The 18,379-nt window shown below is 34.9% G+C and overlaps 1 long non-coding RNA gene across 2 annotated transcripts in view; it reads left to right on the top strand.

Annotated features, from left to right (window-relative positions):
- The first annotated feature begins 16,778 nt into the window (after window positions 1-16,778).
- Window positions 16,779-18,379, top strand: part of LOC105374391 (uncharacterized) — a 52,893-nt gene continuing 51,292 nt past the window's right edge. For both annotated transcript variants that reach the window (XR_925178.3, XR_925179.3), the window contains exon 1: window positions 16,779-16,967. This is a non-coding gene — a long non-coding RNA (uncharacterized LOC105374391). The remainder of the gene's footprint in view (window positions 16,968-18,379) is intronic.

Here is an 18,379-nt window from a genome sequence, read left to right on the forward strand (position 1 = left end):
CCTGAAGACAGAGCATAATCAAATCAATGGCTACTAAGAGGAAGAAGTGGTCCAGTCAAAGCAAAAGCAGATGAGTCAAGAGTGAAACTCATGCAACAATTTTTGGGGATACTCAAGGCCTTTTGCTAGTTAACTTTCTGGGGAGCAAAATAACATAACATCTATTCATTTTTAGACTGTTTTGAGAAAGTTGGTCAAAGCTGTAGCAGAAAAATGCCTAGGAAAGCGTCACCAGAGTCCTTCACCATGCTAATGCTTCTGCTCATTACTCTCATCAAACAAGGGCAATTTTACAAGAGTTTTGATGGGAAATTATTAGGCATTCATCTTATATTTCTAATTTGGTTTCTCCTGACTTTTTTTCATTTCTTTAAATCTTAAAATATCCTTAAAGAGGATTTTTTTTTCTTTGGGAATGGACTAAATTACTCACATCATCACTTAGAAAAATGTTTTACACTTGATGAAGCTTATGTTGAGAAAGAAAGTTTATATTTTATATTTTTATCTTTTACCCCCATTTTCCATGAGTTAAGTCCTCTTATATGTGTAATTGGAGATCCTAGATTTAGAAAGATGATAAAACAATGCAGGAAAAATATTTAATGGCCAGTGATTTTTCTAAAATTAGTGAAAGTCGATAGACTACATAACCAAGAAGCTCAGCAAACCCAAGGGGAATAAAGAAAAATAAATAAAAACAAACATATAACAGTAAGCATTCAACTAAAAACTAAAAACATCTAGACATTTATCTTTTTATAGCTGAAAAAGGAAACTTGGAGACATCCCAAGGGAAGGGGGAACATTGTATCCTAAGGAACAAAGATAAGAACTACAGTACATTTTTTTTTTTTTTTGTCAACAAAGGCAGAAACCAGAAGATGATGGAATAACATTTTTAAAGTTTTGAAATAAAAAGTCTGTAAGTTAAGGATTTTATAGCCAGTAAATTTTTAAAAAAATAAAAGTAAAATAAGCACTTTACTTAGAGAATCAAACCTGACAGAATTTATTTTCAGCAGACATGTAGTACAAGAAATGTTAAAAGAATTTCTTCAGAAAGAATAATATGATGCTAGATAAAAATTTCTGTCTATATAAACAAAAGTTATCAGAAATGGCAAAAATTAGGTTAAATTTAAGTCATTTATGTCTAAAACATAAAGTTTAAAGTCTAAGCATAAAGTGTTGAGTTTATTTTATAAAAGTAAAATGAATGACATCAATAACATAAAGAATATGTAAAAGAAATTTAAAATATATATCGTATATACTATATTTTAAGTGGTGTATATTATATACTATATTTTGAGTGGTTGATATGCTTTGGCTGTGCTGCCACTCAAATCTCAATTGGAATTGTATCTCCCAGAATTCCCATTTGCTGTGGGAGGGACCCAGGGGGAGGCAATTGAATCATGGGGGCCAGTCTTTCCCGTGCTATCCTCATGATAGAGAATAATTCTCATGAGATCTGATGGGTTTATCAGGGGTTTCCACTTTTGCTTCTTCCTCATTTTCTCTTGCTGCCATCATGTAATATATGTCTTTTGCCTCCTGCCATGATTCTGAGGCCTCCCCAGCCATGTGGAACGGTAAGTCCAATTAAATCTCTTTTTTTCCCCCCAGTCTCAGGTATGTCTTTATCAGCAGCATGAAAAAGGACTAATACAGTGGGGTATTATTTAAGACTGTGATACTGCAAACTATGACTAAGAATAAATGGGACAAAAAGAAAGCAACTAATATGCCAGCAACAAACAAGTTTAATTCAAAATTAAAATCACAATATCATTTACATTACCACACCCAAAATAAAATACTTACATATACACCTAACAAAATATATACAATAGCTATATGGAAAGCACTAAAATACCATGATAAAAGAATTCTAAGAACAAAATAATATTCCATGTTTATGGATAGGAAGACTCAATTTCAAGAAGTTTGTTCTTTCCAACTTGATGTATAGATTCAGGGCAATCCCAATGCAAATCTCTGCAAACTATAACACAGATATTGAAAAACTGATTCTTAATTTTATTTGGGGAGGCAAAGGGTCTAGAATGCCCAACATGATATGGAAAGGGAAGAACAAAGTCAGAATGCTGACATTACATGACGTCAAGACTTACTATAAAACTACAGTAATTAAGACAGTGTGGTATCAGTGAAAGAATAGACAAATAGTTCAATGGAGTACTATAGAGAGTCCTGAAATATAACCACACAAATATAGTCAATTGATGTTTGACAAAAGAGCAAGGGCAATAATATAGAGAAAAGATAGCCTGTTCATCAGAAGCTGCCAGAAAAACTGGACTTTCACACACACACAAATAAATCTAGACATAGACCTTATCACCCTTCACAAAAATTAACTCAAAATAAAATATAAATCTAAGTGTAAAATGCAAAGCTATAAAAGTGTGAGAAGATAACATAGGAGAAAATCTAGACGACCTTGAGTTTGTCAGTGACTTCTTAGCTGCAACACCAAAGGCAGGATCCATGAAGAAAATAATTGATAAGCTGAACTTAATTAAAATTAAAAACTTTTGTTCTGATGCTGTCAAGACAATGAGAAAACAAACCATATAAACTGGAGACCTCTCCACTCCATGCTCAGGCAGATTTCCAGGCACATACGCACCTGGATCAGCAGCCTGAACCACTCCACCTTTCTTGTACACAGACCATGGTGTAGTGTGGCATATTTTCCAGGCATTTGGAGTCCCTCTCACTGAAATTAGTAGCCTGAGTTGCCCCACCCTTCCAGTGCAGAGATCTGGTTGCAGAGGGGCCCTCTCTGTTCAGTGTCCAGGTAGATGTCCAGGCATTTGGAACACCCACTTGCCTGGGTCAGCAGCTTGAGTCACCCACTCTTCTTGTGCAGAGACCATGATGAAGTGGAGCCCTCTCTCTCCACACCTAGAAATATCTCCAGGCATTAGGGGCACTCATTTGCCTGGGCCAGAAGCTTGTGCCAACCCATACTTCTTTGGCACAGATTGCAGTGCAGGGTGTTCTCTGCTCCACACCTAGGCAAATCTCCAGGAATTCACAGGACCTACTCACTTGGATCAGCACCCTAAGTTACCTCACCCTTCCTGTGTGGAGACCATGGTAAAATAGAGCCCTGTCTGCCCTATGCCCAGGCATATGTCCAGGCATCTGGAGCACCCACCTACTTGGAATTGTAGTTTAGCCCAACCTCCTCCTCATGCAGAGAACTTGGGGCTGAGATGGTTTCCCAGCTTCATGCCTAAGTACATGTTTGGGTGCTTTGTGGCTGTCCACTGAATTCTCTTTCAGTGCTGAAGCTTGTGACTCCTATGGGGAAACATGTAGATGGGCCTGCCTAAACTGATCCTCACCATCTTGGCACCCAAAGAGGCTGAGCAGGAAGCTCAGACCACTGTGCACTCCATGGATCAACCCATTTCCTGAGGCAACAGAGAGCTTCCGCCAGTAAACAAGGAGCTAGTATATATCTAGCCACTTTGGATATAGCTGTTTTTTTTTTTTTTTAACCCAGAAGCACCATCTACCAGCTTGTAGATCAAACTGCACAGCTCAATATGAAACATGATAAAAGAAGTGAATAGGGAATTAGAAACAAAACCAAAAGTTCCTACCCAACATTCTCTAAAGTCCTACACAACCTGGTGGGTAGAAGGAGGGAAAGGCAAAGGAAAAAAGTAGTAAAATAGGCAAAGAAAGAAAAAGAAAAAAATTCTACCTGTGAAAATAATTACAAAAATTAGAATTGTCAGTGTCTCTGGATGAAAAGAAACCAGGGCAAGAATTCAGGCACCATGAATAATCTGAATATAGTAACATCATCAAAGGATCACGTTAGCTCTCTAGCAATGGTCTAACCAAAATGGAAATTCAGAAATGGCAGTTAAAAAAATTCAGTGCATGGACTGCAAGGAAGTTGACAAGATGTAAGATAAGGTTAAACATCAACATAAAGGAATTTGTAAAGCAACCCAAGAAATGAAGAAAGAGATAAGCATCTTTAAAAGAAATAAATCAGAGCTTCTGGAATTGAAAAACTGACTCAAGAAAATTCAAAATATATTATAAATACAAAATACAACACAAAACAAATTGCAATAACTTTATCAGTATACTGTTTCAAGCAGAAGAAAGAATTTTAGAGCTTAAGGCAAGTTTTTCAAACTAACCTAGTCAGACAAAAATAAATAAAAATATTTATAAAAAATAAAGTCTTCAGGAAATATGGCAATATGTAAAGCAACTCAACCTGTTAATTACTGGCATTCTTAGAAAAGAAGGAGAAAAACTCAACAACCTGTAAAGTATTCAAGAAAATTTCCCAAATGTCATTAGAGAGGTAGACATCCAGTTAGTTACAAGAAATCCAGAGGACGCCTGTGAGATACTTTGCAAAGCAAACATCACCAAGATATAGTCATCAGACTGTCCAAAGTCAACACTAAAAAAAAATATTGGCCTGCTGTGGTGGCTCACATCTGTAATCCCAGCACTTTGGGAGGCCGAGGCAGGCATTCAAGGCCAGGAATTTGAGAACAGCCTGGCCAACATGGTGAAACACCATCTCTACTGAAACTACAAAAATTAGTCATGCATGGTGGCAGGCACCTGTAGTCCCAGCTATTTGGGAGGCTGAGACACAAGAATTACTTGAACCGGGAGGTGGAGGTTGCACAGAACTGAGGTCGCACCACTGCACTCTATCCTGGGCAACAGAGCAAGAATCTGGAATCTGGAATCTGGCAAAAAAAAAAAAAAAAAAAACTTAAAAGCAGCTAGAGAAAAAAGTCAGATCACATAAACAGGGACCCTAATCATGCTAATAGCACATTTCTAAGCAGAAACCTTATAAGCCAGGAGAGATTGGGGGCCTAGTTTCAGCATTCTTATAGAAAAATAATTCAACCAAAAATTTCATATCCTGCCAAACTATGCTTCTTGAGTAAAGAAGAAATGAAATATTTTCTAGACAGGCAAGCACTAAGGGAATTAGTTACCATTAGAACTTCCTTACAAGACTTTTTTTTTTTTTTTTTTTTTTTTGAGATGCAGTCTTGCTCTATTGTCCAGGCTGGAGTGCAGTAGCGCGATCTCGGCTCACTGCAAGCTCCGCCTCCCAGCTTCACGCCATTCTCCTGCCTCAGCCTCCTGAGTAGCTGGGACTACAGGCACCCGCCACCACGCCCAGCTAATTTTTTGTATTTTTAGTAGAGACGGGGTTTCACCGTGTTAGCCAGGATGGTCTCAATCTCCTGACCTTGTGATCCGCCTGCCTCGGCCTCCCAAAGTACTGGGATTACAGGCTTGAGCCACCGCACCCGGCCAGAACTGCCTTACCAGAAATTCTTAAGGAAGTTCTAAACAAGGAAATGAAAGAAAGATACCTACTACCACAAAAACACACTTAAGTAAATCGCCAACAGACCCTAGAAGGCAACCACAAAATAGAAACTACAAGGCAACCAGGTAACAACATAATGATAGGCTCGAAACTTCACATATCAATATTAACCTTTAATGTAAATGGTCTAAATGCCTCATTTAAAAAGTACAGAGTTGGAAGTTGGACAAAAACAAAAAATTGAGATCCATCCAGCTGTTGTCTGCAAGAGACCCATTTCACATGTTATGATATCTATAGGCTCAAAGTGAAGGGTTAAATATGTATCCTAGAAACAGAAAACAAAACAGAAGGAGTGGTTTATTCTTATATCAGATAAAACAGACTCTAAACAAACAACAGCAGAAAGGGACAAGAAGGGCATTACATAATGGTAAAAGCTTCAATTGAACAAGACTTTACTCACTTAAATCTACATGCACCCCACATTGAAGCACACAGATTCATAAAACAAGTACTTCTAGACCTATGAAATCTTTTACAGCCACTTTTCCCAGCACCATTTATTAAATAGGGAATCCTTTCCCCATTTCTTGCTTTTGTCAGGTTTGTCAAAGCTGAAACTGGATCCCTTCCTTACACCTTATACAAAAAATAATTCAAGATGGATTAATGACTTAAATGTTAGACCTAAAACCATAAAAACCCTAGAAGAAAACCTAGGCAATAGGCATGGGCAAGGACTTCATGTCTAAAACTCCAAAAGCAATGGCAACAAAAGCCAAAACTGACAAATGGGATCTAATTAAACTAAAGAGTTTCTGCACAGCAAAAGAAACTACCATCAGAGTGAACAGGCAACCTACAGAATGGGAGAAAATGTTTGCAATCTACTCATCTGACAAAGGGCTAATATCCAGAATCTACAAAGAACTCAAACAAATTTACAAGAAAAAAACAACCCCATCAAAAAGTGGGCAAAGGATATGAACAGACACTTCTCAAAAGAAGACATTTATGCAGCCAACAGACACATGAAAAAATGCTCATCATCACTGGCCATCAGAGAAATGCAAATCAAAACCACAATGAGATACCATCTCACACCAGTTAGAATGGCGATCATTAAAAAGTCAGGAAACAACAGGTGCTGGAGAGGATGTGGAGAAATAGGAACACTTTGACACTGTTGGTGGGACTGTAAACTAGTTCAACCATTGTGGAAGTCATTGTGGTGATTCTTCAGGGATCTAGAACTAGAAATACCTTTTGACCCAGCCATCCCATTACTGGGTATGTACCCAAAGGATTATAAATCATGCTGCTATAAAGACACATGCACACGTATGTTCATTGCTGCACTATTCACAATAGCAAAGACTTGGAACCAACCCAAATGTCCATCAATGATAGACTGCATTAAGAAAATGTGGCACATATACACCATGGAATACCGTGCAGCCATTAAAAAAGGATGAGTTCATGTCCTTTGTAGGGACATGGATGAAGCTGGAAACCATCATTCTCAGCAAACTATCGCAAGGACAAAAAAACAAACACCACATGTTCTCACTCATAGGTGGGAACTGAACAATGAGAACACTTGGACACAGGAAGGGGAACATCACACACCAGGACCTGTCATGGGGTGAGGGGAGGGGGGAGGGATAGCATCAGGAGATATACCTAATGTAAATGATGAGTTAATGGGTGCAGCACACCAACATGGCACATGTATACATATGTAACAAACCTGGATGTTGTGCACAGGTACCCTAGAACTTAAAGTACAATAATAAAAAAATAAAAAATAAATAAAAATGCATACAAGATGATAAAACAGTAAAAAATAATTAACACCATCAATAAATTACAATTATCATGTGCTGCAGTTTAAAAAAAAAAAAAAAGAAATCTTTTACAGCCACACAACAAAAGTGGGGATTTCAACATCGCAACCGACAGCATTAGACCAGCCTGGGCAACATGAAGAAACCTCATCTCTACAAAAAGTACAAAGTTTTCCAGGCATGATGGCGTGTTCCTGTAGTCCCAGCTACAGGAACTGAGGATGCTGAGGTGGGGGATCACTTGAGCATCAGGAGGTTGAGGCTGCAGTTAGCCATGTTTATGCCACCGCACTCCAGCCTGGGCAACAAAGTGAGACTTTCCCTTGAAAAGAAAATAAAAATTTAAATTAATAGTATTGGTGTTTAAAAATGGGAAAATATCTTTAAAAGAGCATAAAGGAGTATATTATAAACAGTATTATGCCATTTGCTTAAAATTTTTGGATAAATCAACAAATCCTTTGAAAGTTATCAATTACCAGAACTTAAGACAATAAGAAATGGAAAATCTGAATTACCTATATCATTAAGAGGAAATTAAAACAATAATGCAAAACCTTCCTATGAAAATGTTAGGCCTAATCTTTCACTAGTGAAAATGTGAGCATATTAAAAAGATATAATGCCAGTGTTACTAGCCCTTTCAGAAGAGAGAACTAAGAGGAAAAATTTTCTAAATCATCATATGAGGCTAGAATTTCCATCGTAGCAAACCCAGAGAAGAGTATTACAACAAAAAAGAAAACCATAGTCCAATAATCCTAACAATTGAAGATTATAATAGTCAGTAAAACATTACCAAGTCTAGTCCTTCAAAATTATAACATTTAATGGCCGAGTGAGCATTATCACAGGAAGACAAGTTTGTTTTTTCGTTCATAAAGCATTTAATGTGTAATTAGCAACATTAATAAAATTGTCACATGGAAATTTACTTTAATAGAATGGTAGCCTCCAAGTATACTCTTGGAGGAAGAGTGACCCCAGAAGTCATGGAACTGAAAGGTTTGCAGAGCAAGTTAAAATGCTCTACTCACATGATTTATTAAATCAATTAAAAACGTACAGCATCAAGTGAGGTGAGTTAGATGGGGATAAGTTATCCCATTTACAAAGCATGCAAACAGGTATGTGTTGCATATACATCATGGAATACTATGCAGCCATAAGAAAGAACAAGATTATGTTCTTTGCAACAACGTTGATGGAGCTTGAGGACATTATTCTAAGGAACTAATACAGGAACAGGAAAAAAAATACCACATATACTCATTTATAAGTGAGAACTAAACATTGAGTACAGATGGACACAAAGAAAGGAAGAACAGATACTGGGGCCTATTTGAGGGTGGAGAGTAGAGGGTTGGAGGAGGAACAGAATAAAAAAAACTACCTATCAGGTACTATGCTTATTACCCTGGTGACAAAATAATCTGTACACCAAATGCCTGTGACATGTAGTTTACCTATATAACAAACCTGAGCATGTCCCTGACCCTAAAATAAAAGTTACAAAGAAGAAGAAAAAGTATGTATATATTGAAATTAAATATTCCTATTTTCTAAGAGTGGGAGGACATTAACTTATTTTGATTTTAAATTGGTGACTTTTTACTGAGGACCAAATTCACATATTTGCCCAGCCTTGGAAAATGCAGTGCCATTGCAGTATCTGTCTTTGTCTCCTCTACATAACACAGATGCCATCCTTCCAAGAAACTATCTTATCCTTAATTGTTTAAATGAATTTTGCCTACGCCCGCAACCTCATTTTTGATCTGCTTAACAAATAAAATCTGGGATAGAATTCTGGAGCCTATGCCTGGGCATGATGTCAGAAGAAAGACAGTTTTGTTATGTTTTGATTTGTTTCCCCCAATTCTGAACTGTTTAATATTTCACCTAGACTACAGGTTTGATTTCCTTTACTTGTATTGCTGATGCCTAGATAAGGTGTCAGGTGTGCTTTAATTTTATTTCCTTTGAAAATACAATATTATACTGTATTGATGTAAATATTTTCATAACATAAGCAGTTATGGAGATGATGGCATATAAATGAATAGTTGATGGGTCCTGGAGTCCCACTGGGTGAGTCTGCATTTTAAATTTGTCACTTCTAGCTGCATGACTTGGGCAAATTATTTTAATCTCTTTGGGCTTCCCAGTCCTAAAGGGGAATAGTATTAGTTTCACCCTCAAGTGCTTGCTAAGAATATTTGGTAAAATAATACATGTAAAGGACATGGAAGTGTTTCTGGCACAGATTAAGCCCTCCATACTATAAACCATATTGTTATACTTAATATTAAGTGAAAACATCTGTGATATATTTAAAGATTTTAATATTTGCATTAGTTTGAATTTTATAACTGCCTTTGTATTGATGAAGAAATATATAATAAAAAATTAAGTAAAAGTTACTCTGAGTCTAATGCATGTGTAATGCATGAAAAGCTTGACACAAAAAGTAAGTGGTTTGGAGAAATCAGGAAAGGGGGCAAGCTTCAGAAACTCCCAAGAGACTAATAGCATAGACTATCAAAAAAGACAGATTTGTCACAGACTTACAAATAAATTACTGAAGACAACATTAGTAGACTAACCTACTTTCAACACAACATGAAACTCTATTCCAGATTCATTTCCAACTTTTAAAAATACTATATTAACTTTTCAGTAAATATGTGTATAGTATCTGCAATTGAAAAGTTGAAGAAAACATTGTAACAGAAAAGTCCACCAGTATATCTGTCTCTTGTATTCAGTGTGTACCATAAAAAGTAGCAATAATATCCACTAAAAGCAGAACACAACAGCTAATATGAAAATGTCTAAGTAGTAAAGGATTCCTGAACTGTGAATTCATTGAAGTTCATTCTATATTATGGATTGTTTTGAATGATGCTAATGTATATGATATATGCATGTTTGTACACTTTGCATGTATTTTAGGAATTCATTCAAAATCATTTTGCATGTTGTTTGCTTTTTATTTACTAAAGTTATTGAAATATGGACCTTTTATAATCTAATTACGTTGAAAGGCACAGGGCTGTATTAGATAGTTTGAAGAATTTTAACAACACGTACACGTATTTAATCCATAGTCCTACCAGGTTATAGAATACTTTTGTGTACCCAGAAAGTTATCTTGATGCCCCTTTTTTGCCAATCATAGTGTCTACTAGAAGCGAACATTATTCTGATTTCTATCACCATAGATTAATTTTGTTCATTCCAGAACTTCTTGGAAATCATGCAATATGTCCTCTCATGCCAAGCTTCCTTCACCCAGCATAATATATTTTTGAGATTCATCCATTTTGTTCTGTGCATAAGTAATATGTTCCTTTTTGTATTGCATTTTGTATATTTATTTACTGCTAGATATTTGTGTCGCTTCCTGTTTTTAGCTATTATGACTAGTGCCGCTGTGAATCATCATGTATAAGAATTTTTCTAGACACTTTTGTCTAGTGCAAAGGATACATGAATAGTGGATGGATAAATGGATTCCTGGGTCATAAGGTGGGGCATGTTTTAATTTATTAGAAATAGCCAGAGTATTTTTCAAAATGATTTCACCATTAATTCCCATAAGCAAAAGGTAGGAATCCTGGTTGCTCTATATCCTGGGGAATATTCAGGATTTCAAGTATTTCATTTGATCAATTCTACTAGGTATGTGATATCACACAGTGAAATTAATATCTGTGTATTTAATGACTATTGATATTGAGCACTTTTCAAATATTATCTTCTTGTGAAGTGCCTTTTCAAGTCTTTTGTCCCTTTTTTGGTGAAATCATTTGTCTTTTTATTATTGAGTTAGAGGCTTTCTTTATATATGTATTTGAAATAACTTTGTCAACTATAAATGTTTGGAACTGTTTCTCCCACTGTCAGTTGTGAGAGAAATATTTCTAAATTTTTAAAATATTCAGATTCTAAAAGCTGTCTTTTGAAAAAGAGATTTTTTTACTTTTATAAAGTCTGATTAATAAACTTTTTCACTTATGCCTAGGGACTTTTGTGTTTTTTATGAGATACATTTGACAATTTAAAGTGACAAAGAGTGTCTTTTTTAGAAGCTTTATAGTTGAGATTTTATGGTTAGGTCCATCTCAAATTGATCTTTTGCTTTTGTCGTAAGGTAAGAATTGAGGTGCATTTTCTTTTCATTTTTTATATGTGATTGTTGCATAACTATTTATTTATTTATTTATCTATTTATGAGACAGGTCTTTCTCTGACTCCCAGGCTGAAGTGCAGAGGCATGATCATAGCTCAGTAGAACTTCGAATTCCTGGGCTGAAGTAATCTTCCCTCTTTAGCCTCCCAAGTAGCTGGGACTTCAGGCATGCATCACCATACCCAGCTGTTTTTTAAAATTAATTTTTATAGAGGTAGGGTCTCACTGTGTTCCCCAGGCTGCCACTATCATTTATTGAAAAAACTTTTATTTCCCATTAAATTGTTTACTGCTTCTTAAAAAACTAATTGACCATGTATATGTGTGATTATTTCTAGACTACTCTGTATCAAAATCAATTAGTATTAGTTCGTATATTTTATTTTTTTAAAAAAATTATATCGGTTAATCTTTTCATTTCTATATAAATTATAGAATTACATTGTCAGTTACTATTAAGAGCCCTGCTGAGGTTTTGAGTTGTTTCATGGTGAATCAGTAGATCATTTTAGGAAGACTTGACATCTTAACATGGGGTACTCCTCATTCATGAGGTTCTAATATGGCGTCTCTTTGCTGACACTTTTTTCTGGCCCCATTTGTCCTCAATTCAAGAATATAAATAAAACCCACAGTTAATTAGAGGCTAATCTGTATGATACTGTAATGACCTGGTACAAATTATTTCATCTTTCCAACAGAGAAAGTATGTGTCATTGAGTTGGGGCATCTTCCATCTTTGGGTCCCTTTGTTCAAACCTCAATTCTGGTCCTTATACCATCCATGGGGAAGGCTAGTGCAGCAGAAAGTGAGAGACCAGGCATATAAGCATTGCTTATCCCAAGACTCAGGTAGGATTAATTTGTTATATATGCAATCATGGACAGTGGTTGTCTTTTGATGTAGGATGTGAAAGCCTGAAGTTTCAGGAGCTAAAAATGGGTAGGAGGCAGATGTTTGTGATTCCTAACAGGAGGGTGGACCTGTTGTGTTGTTTTGTTTTGTTTTTCTCAGTAAACCATCAAGTGGACAGTCATATCCAGTCATATCGGCTACACCTGCCTGTTTCCAGAGATCTAAGCAGTCTTGCATAGAATGTGTTAATGATGACCATAGACATAGCTCAAACACAGTAAGACTCCAGAGTATAGAAATCTAAAGTCTCTGGATGTTGAGACAACCAGAGGAGTGATCTGAAATAAAGCCATAAATAACTTTTTGTTTTAAATTGAGATGGATTCTTGCTATGTTGCCCAGGCTGGTCTTGAACTCCAGGGCTCAAGCAATCCTCCCACCTCGACCTCCCAAAGTGCTGGGATTACGGGCATAAGCCACCATGCCCAGCCTGAAAAAAATTTTTAATGAGAATTTTTCTCATAGCAATAGAAACACAGATTCAGATTTATCTCTGAAAAATTGAATGACGTGATACATATTAATGAATATTATTTGTTATTATAGGAAGCGGAATATATAGGGGATCTATTTTCAAATGGATCCTCACTCAATAAAGAATAGATAAATAATTGTGGTGGATTGAAACTCATTTCCCTTATTCTTTATCTTTCTTCTCCTGCTTAAAGGACAGTTGTTCGGGATGATTTAAATTAGCACTTTCTCAATTTCATTGAGAGTAATTTGCTACAAACATTTACTGTCAAAGTGTTCAAATTAGAGATATTTAAATGTTTGTGTAAAAAGATAAAATGGGGAGATTTCCATTTATGTTTTAAAAATGTAATACATGGATTAAGAAATTATTTTCTCTTGGCTCTGATGCATTAGAGGTTGACTATGTACTTTAATTTGTTATCAAAACATAATTTTTACGTCTAATATATGAATATTTTTATAATAGTAGCTCTACTATAAGAAAATGGATATGACCTATACCTATTTATAAGTTGATAACAGAAATCAAATATACATTTTTTGTACTATTAATACCAGATGTTTTCACTGAATACAAAGATTTGACAAAACATATTCTGGAATGCCGATGTGAAACTTAATCTATATATTAAGATTATAATGTTAATTAAACATTTATTATCTTAATGGGATTTTTCAAAGCTGTGGTTAATTGAATTTATTACTAGAAGCTGCTAATCTCTGAGATTTACATTTAACAGTAGGATGATCTTAATTTGCCCCATTATTGTGCCAATTTTAACTGATATTTCCAGTTATTTCAATATTATTTTGTTTTGCATTCTGATATATAAGTGAGTCAAAATTGCCTCTTTGTGGCCCTGGGATACTTATTTCTTCATTGCAGGCTGAGATCCGTAACTAAAAACCCACCACTGCCAAATTCAACATTTTATACATTAAGGCACTTTAAAAATAGACCAAAAAAAGAGACTTTTAGCCATTTAGACCCTACTTGTTTTGAATACCTTATGTAACCTCAACCAAAATCTGATGGGAATAAATAAGCTCAGGGCTATATAAAGATTCCAAGCTGTCATTGCCCTTCTGACAATGTCATTGCCCCTCTGACCCTGAGACTCCCCACCATGCTACTGAGTGACATCACTTAAACCTATCAGCCTCCTCTCTAATCTTCTTCTACACCCTGGAGTCCGCTCACTCAACTCCTCTTCTATTTGCCCCCACCCCATAGCCTCTGAATAGATCAGCTGTGAGGGACTCCCCTGCAAATCAGCTTGTCAAAGCACTGTCCCATAAAGCTTGTGTGTGCTACTGCACACACATGGTCTTATATTTTTCCTTGATTAGCCCTCAAATCCTGAAACATCTTATACATGTTTATAATAAATGAAAAGATGTATTCTGATTAAACAATATTTTAAACATATTGTTGGATTTAATTTGCTCCTATATCCACCACATTTAAAAATGATTCATTAATTCAGTGAAAACCATTCTGCAACTTGTTTGAAACCATGTGAAAACAAAATCAGATTTACCTATAAATGTTTTCTTTATTTTAAAAGCTATTATTGTATTATTGTATAGACATAAATGAAAAGCCAAAATTTACACCTTCTAGTCAACAAATGTGAGCAGTCCAAAACCGAGTTAAATAAATAAATAAATAAATAAAGCAGGGAGAAAATGATCAGAATCCATTCTTGATTGCCTAAGGAATAATTAAATTACCAGCTCGCCCCTCCTTGTTGTTTATACTAGAAAACACCAATTGAACTTTAAAATTATTCTCATAATTTGATATCACCTTCTGTAGCCTGTGAAATCCCCTCTCTTTTTCAAAACGCTGTTAATTTTTGTCTTCTTTATGCTATTGCACTATGTGCTTCTTTTATAACATCATACTTTACTATATTGTAGTTTATTTTTTCAAATTTGTTTTCTGTATCAGGCTATGACTTCTGGAGGTGCTATGTGTTATCCATCTGTTTTTCTAAATACCTTGTACAATTCATATCACATAGTAGGCTCTAAATAATTGTTACATAAATATTTCAACATAAAACATCATTATATATAATGACATATATATACATATACACATATAAAAGTATATTATGCAAAAAACAAGAGCCCAGGGGTTACAATTTGCTCAGTTCTAACAAGTGAGGGCTTGTCATGAAAATGCTGACATGTCACATTCATGTCAGCCATTTGTATTTTAAATATAAATCTCCTTCATTATGATCTTTAAAAATTTGGTTTTGGTTAAGTACAGTCTGGAAACTAAGTATGGAGAGAAAGAAAACCAGACCAAGGTTATTCAAATATATTTGAAAAAATTAATGTGACTTGTTAAGAATGGCATTTATTCTTTTTAATTTTTTGTATTGTGATTAAAATAACATTATGTTAAACATAGATTATATACAGTCCAAGGTAATTGATAGTTGCACTGCATCCTTAACTAAAAAAGTGATATCATGCTTCCAAACAAAGTTTGTAACATATAAAAGAGAATAAACTTGCATATACAATAAAGTAGCTTAGTCTCATCTCTCTTTTCCTAACACATTCAATATATGCCACACAGTGGACTTTAATTTCATTTTGAATTACATATGAGCAGGTAACATTATAATAAATATTATTAAAGTATTATTGATTGAACCTAGATACCAGAAAATTGGCTGGAAGTTGGTTGATCAAGTAGATATCAAGCTTAAAAACTGAGAAGTGACTAATAATTGCATTCCTGTAGAATGTGAAGGGTGTTACAAACATCTTGTTTACTGGGAAACACAAGTGTTGGATTGCACTGGAATCATTCAATTAAGTAGAAAGAGGCATTTAAATGCAAAGAGAGAACTTACTTAAAAATAAATAAGCCACAATTGTAGGAACTAAGTTTTGGAAAGCCTTTACTTTGAAATCTTCTTAGAATTAATATCTGAATTGCATGAAATAAGATACGAGAAGATAATAAGAAAGAATAAAGGGAGATTTAATGTTAGAATATAAGAATTAAAATTCATAAGAGACTATCAAAAGATATAATCAGTAAAAAGAGGTAAGATAAAATATCACATTTACACTAGGAGAAACCATTGAGCATACTTGTTCACAAGATAGGGACAAAAACGAAAAACGTGAGTAAAAATTTTATCATACTTAAGGCCATATGGAGTTTTACATTTAATAAGTGCTTTCTGAATATGAGTCATGGAGCTAAAATTCGACAGACATTATACTATTTAGACCCACAATAAGCTGTTTGGAAGAAACTTCTATTCACTCGGTTTCATTGAGAAGGAAGGTGAGCCCCCAGGAGATTTAAAACACTATTGGAGTTACATGACTATTGAACCAAATTAAAGAATAGTAGGACTTGATACGAAACATTCACCATGGGGGCCATTCTTCTAAATATTGCCCCAAAACCTTGACAAATTATATTGTCTAAGTTTTATATTTCCCATATATCAAAGGGAAGAGTAATAGTTTCATATTCATAAAATTGTTATGAGGATAATTAGATAGTGGTGAAAGAAATTGCAAGGACCTAGAAGATAATACATTCACAAAATGTTATTCCTATTACCATGATTATTATAAATTTCACCCTAGCTCTTCTCCTTATTGGTCAATATTCTTTGTGAACGCCTTTTCATATCATAGATAAATGTAGAATTTTTATATACAATTATAATGGCTTTTATTTGGACATATTATTTCATGCTGCATTAAACGGATGTTTCACTATCTGGTCTGAGGATATGATGACTCTTAGCCCAAGCTGCACCATTTTGTAAACCCCCGCCATTTTGCAAACCCAGGTCAGAGTGGAAAATTCCCCTAGGGCTCAGGCTGTGAGAAACATCCTGCCGGGCAAGTCCTAAGCCCAACCGCCTGATCTCAGGAAATTCCTCACTTAGCAACAGCTAACCACCCTGCCCACCCCACTTCACAACAAGCCCAGATCTCTCCCACCCGGACCTAAACTTACCCAGTCTGTAAGCGGGGGCGGGCTCTGGCCTTAGTTGGTGTCCCCCTCCGCGGGTGTTTGTTCGGTAAACCTGTGTTGCTGTAGAGCCGCCTCCGTCCGTTTTTCCTCCCGTTCCTGCGCTAACAATGACATTATACCAAATGTAACTGGTAAGCATTATTCTTTGAAGAAAAGTAATTTACGATATTGTAAGAGGGGCTTCAGTTAATGCGGGGGTGGGGGTGGGGAATTAGATATGGCGGCCTGACATCATTTTAATATGTCTGGCACAAGACTGAAAATATTTGCCAAGAAAATGGTTATATTTTTTGATCTTGACAAATTATATTTCAAGTTCAGCTGAATTAAATCCCTGCCAAAAACAAATACAAAAGCAACAACAACAGCAACAAATAACAAGAAAACAACAATGGGCTATTTTTAAAAACAAGCAAGACAACCTTTAAAAATATTGAAAAAATAATAGAGCAATTCATAGTTGCAAACATAGCTTTTAATATAAAGTATATTATAAAGCTGCAATAGTTCAGGGACTATGAAATGTCTAATAGAGTCAACAAGTAAACTGATGCTAATATAACCCTGAATAATCCATAAATATGATGTTTAGCATTTGGAAAATATAATTTTATATGGTTATTTAATAAGTTGTTCCAAGATAATTTATGAATTATTTGCATAAAATTATGTTAAATCCATGAATCACATCATTTATTGAAAATAAATTTTATTTAAATGTAATATATGTGTGTATGTGTATAATATGAGGTGTGTGTTCTTGTGGGTGTGTATGTGTGTGTACTATTATACCATTAGGGCAAGCTCTAAAGACAATCCCTTAATTGGGATTTGAGACATCCTCACCCTAAAAGAAATAGATTTCTTTTTTATTTTCTGCTGAATCAAATAAGATTATGAACTATTTCCTATTGTTTTGAAGCAATACGCTAAAAATCATCTATACAATTTTCTATCCTCTTTTTTTCTGCCGATATAATTACTATGCTGAATTCTATTTTGCTTTTTCTCTTTAGTTTTGTGATGGTTTTCATGACTCTGTGTCATGAAAGAGCGTATTAGTTTTACTTGATTTTATATATTGACATATGTTGTGTCTATTCTTCTGTGACTTCCATTTGGGCTTAAATTATTTGAAAATTCATCTATGTTGATAAGTGTAGTGGTCAGTGAACTGATTTTCACTGCCTTAGTAGTATTATGATATACAAATGTGCATGTTGTTTATCCATATTATAATAATAGTGGAAATGTTTTACATATTTTGTTATGACAGCAATCCTCTAAAGATCTTTTTGCACTGTTCTATACTTCCAATAATTTGTTTTGTGTATGTACCAACATGTCAAATATCAGGGTAAAGGATATTTGCTCATTTAACTTACATAGTTAACCCAAATTGCAACATCTGTTTGTGCTAATTTTAAAAGGAACTTTATATAATCGAAGTCGTTTTGTAAAATGACTGCCCAAACTCAACTCATAGATAAGGGAATTTTATTTTTAGAAACAATAGCCTCCAGAAAAATAGCTTCCTTCTAAA

The sequence above is a fragment of the Homo sapiens genome, chromosome 4, assembly GCF_000001405.40.
Source record: "Homo sapiens chromosome 4, GRCh38.p14 Primary Assembly".
Classification (NCBI taxonomy): domain Eukaryota; kingdom Metazoa; phylum Chordata; class Mammalia; order Primates; family Hominidae; genus Homo; species Homo sapiens.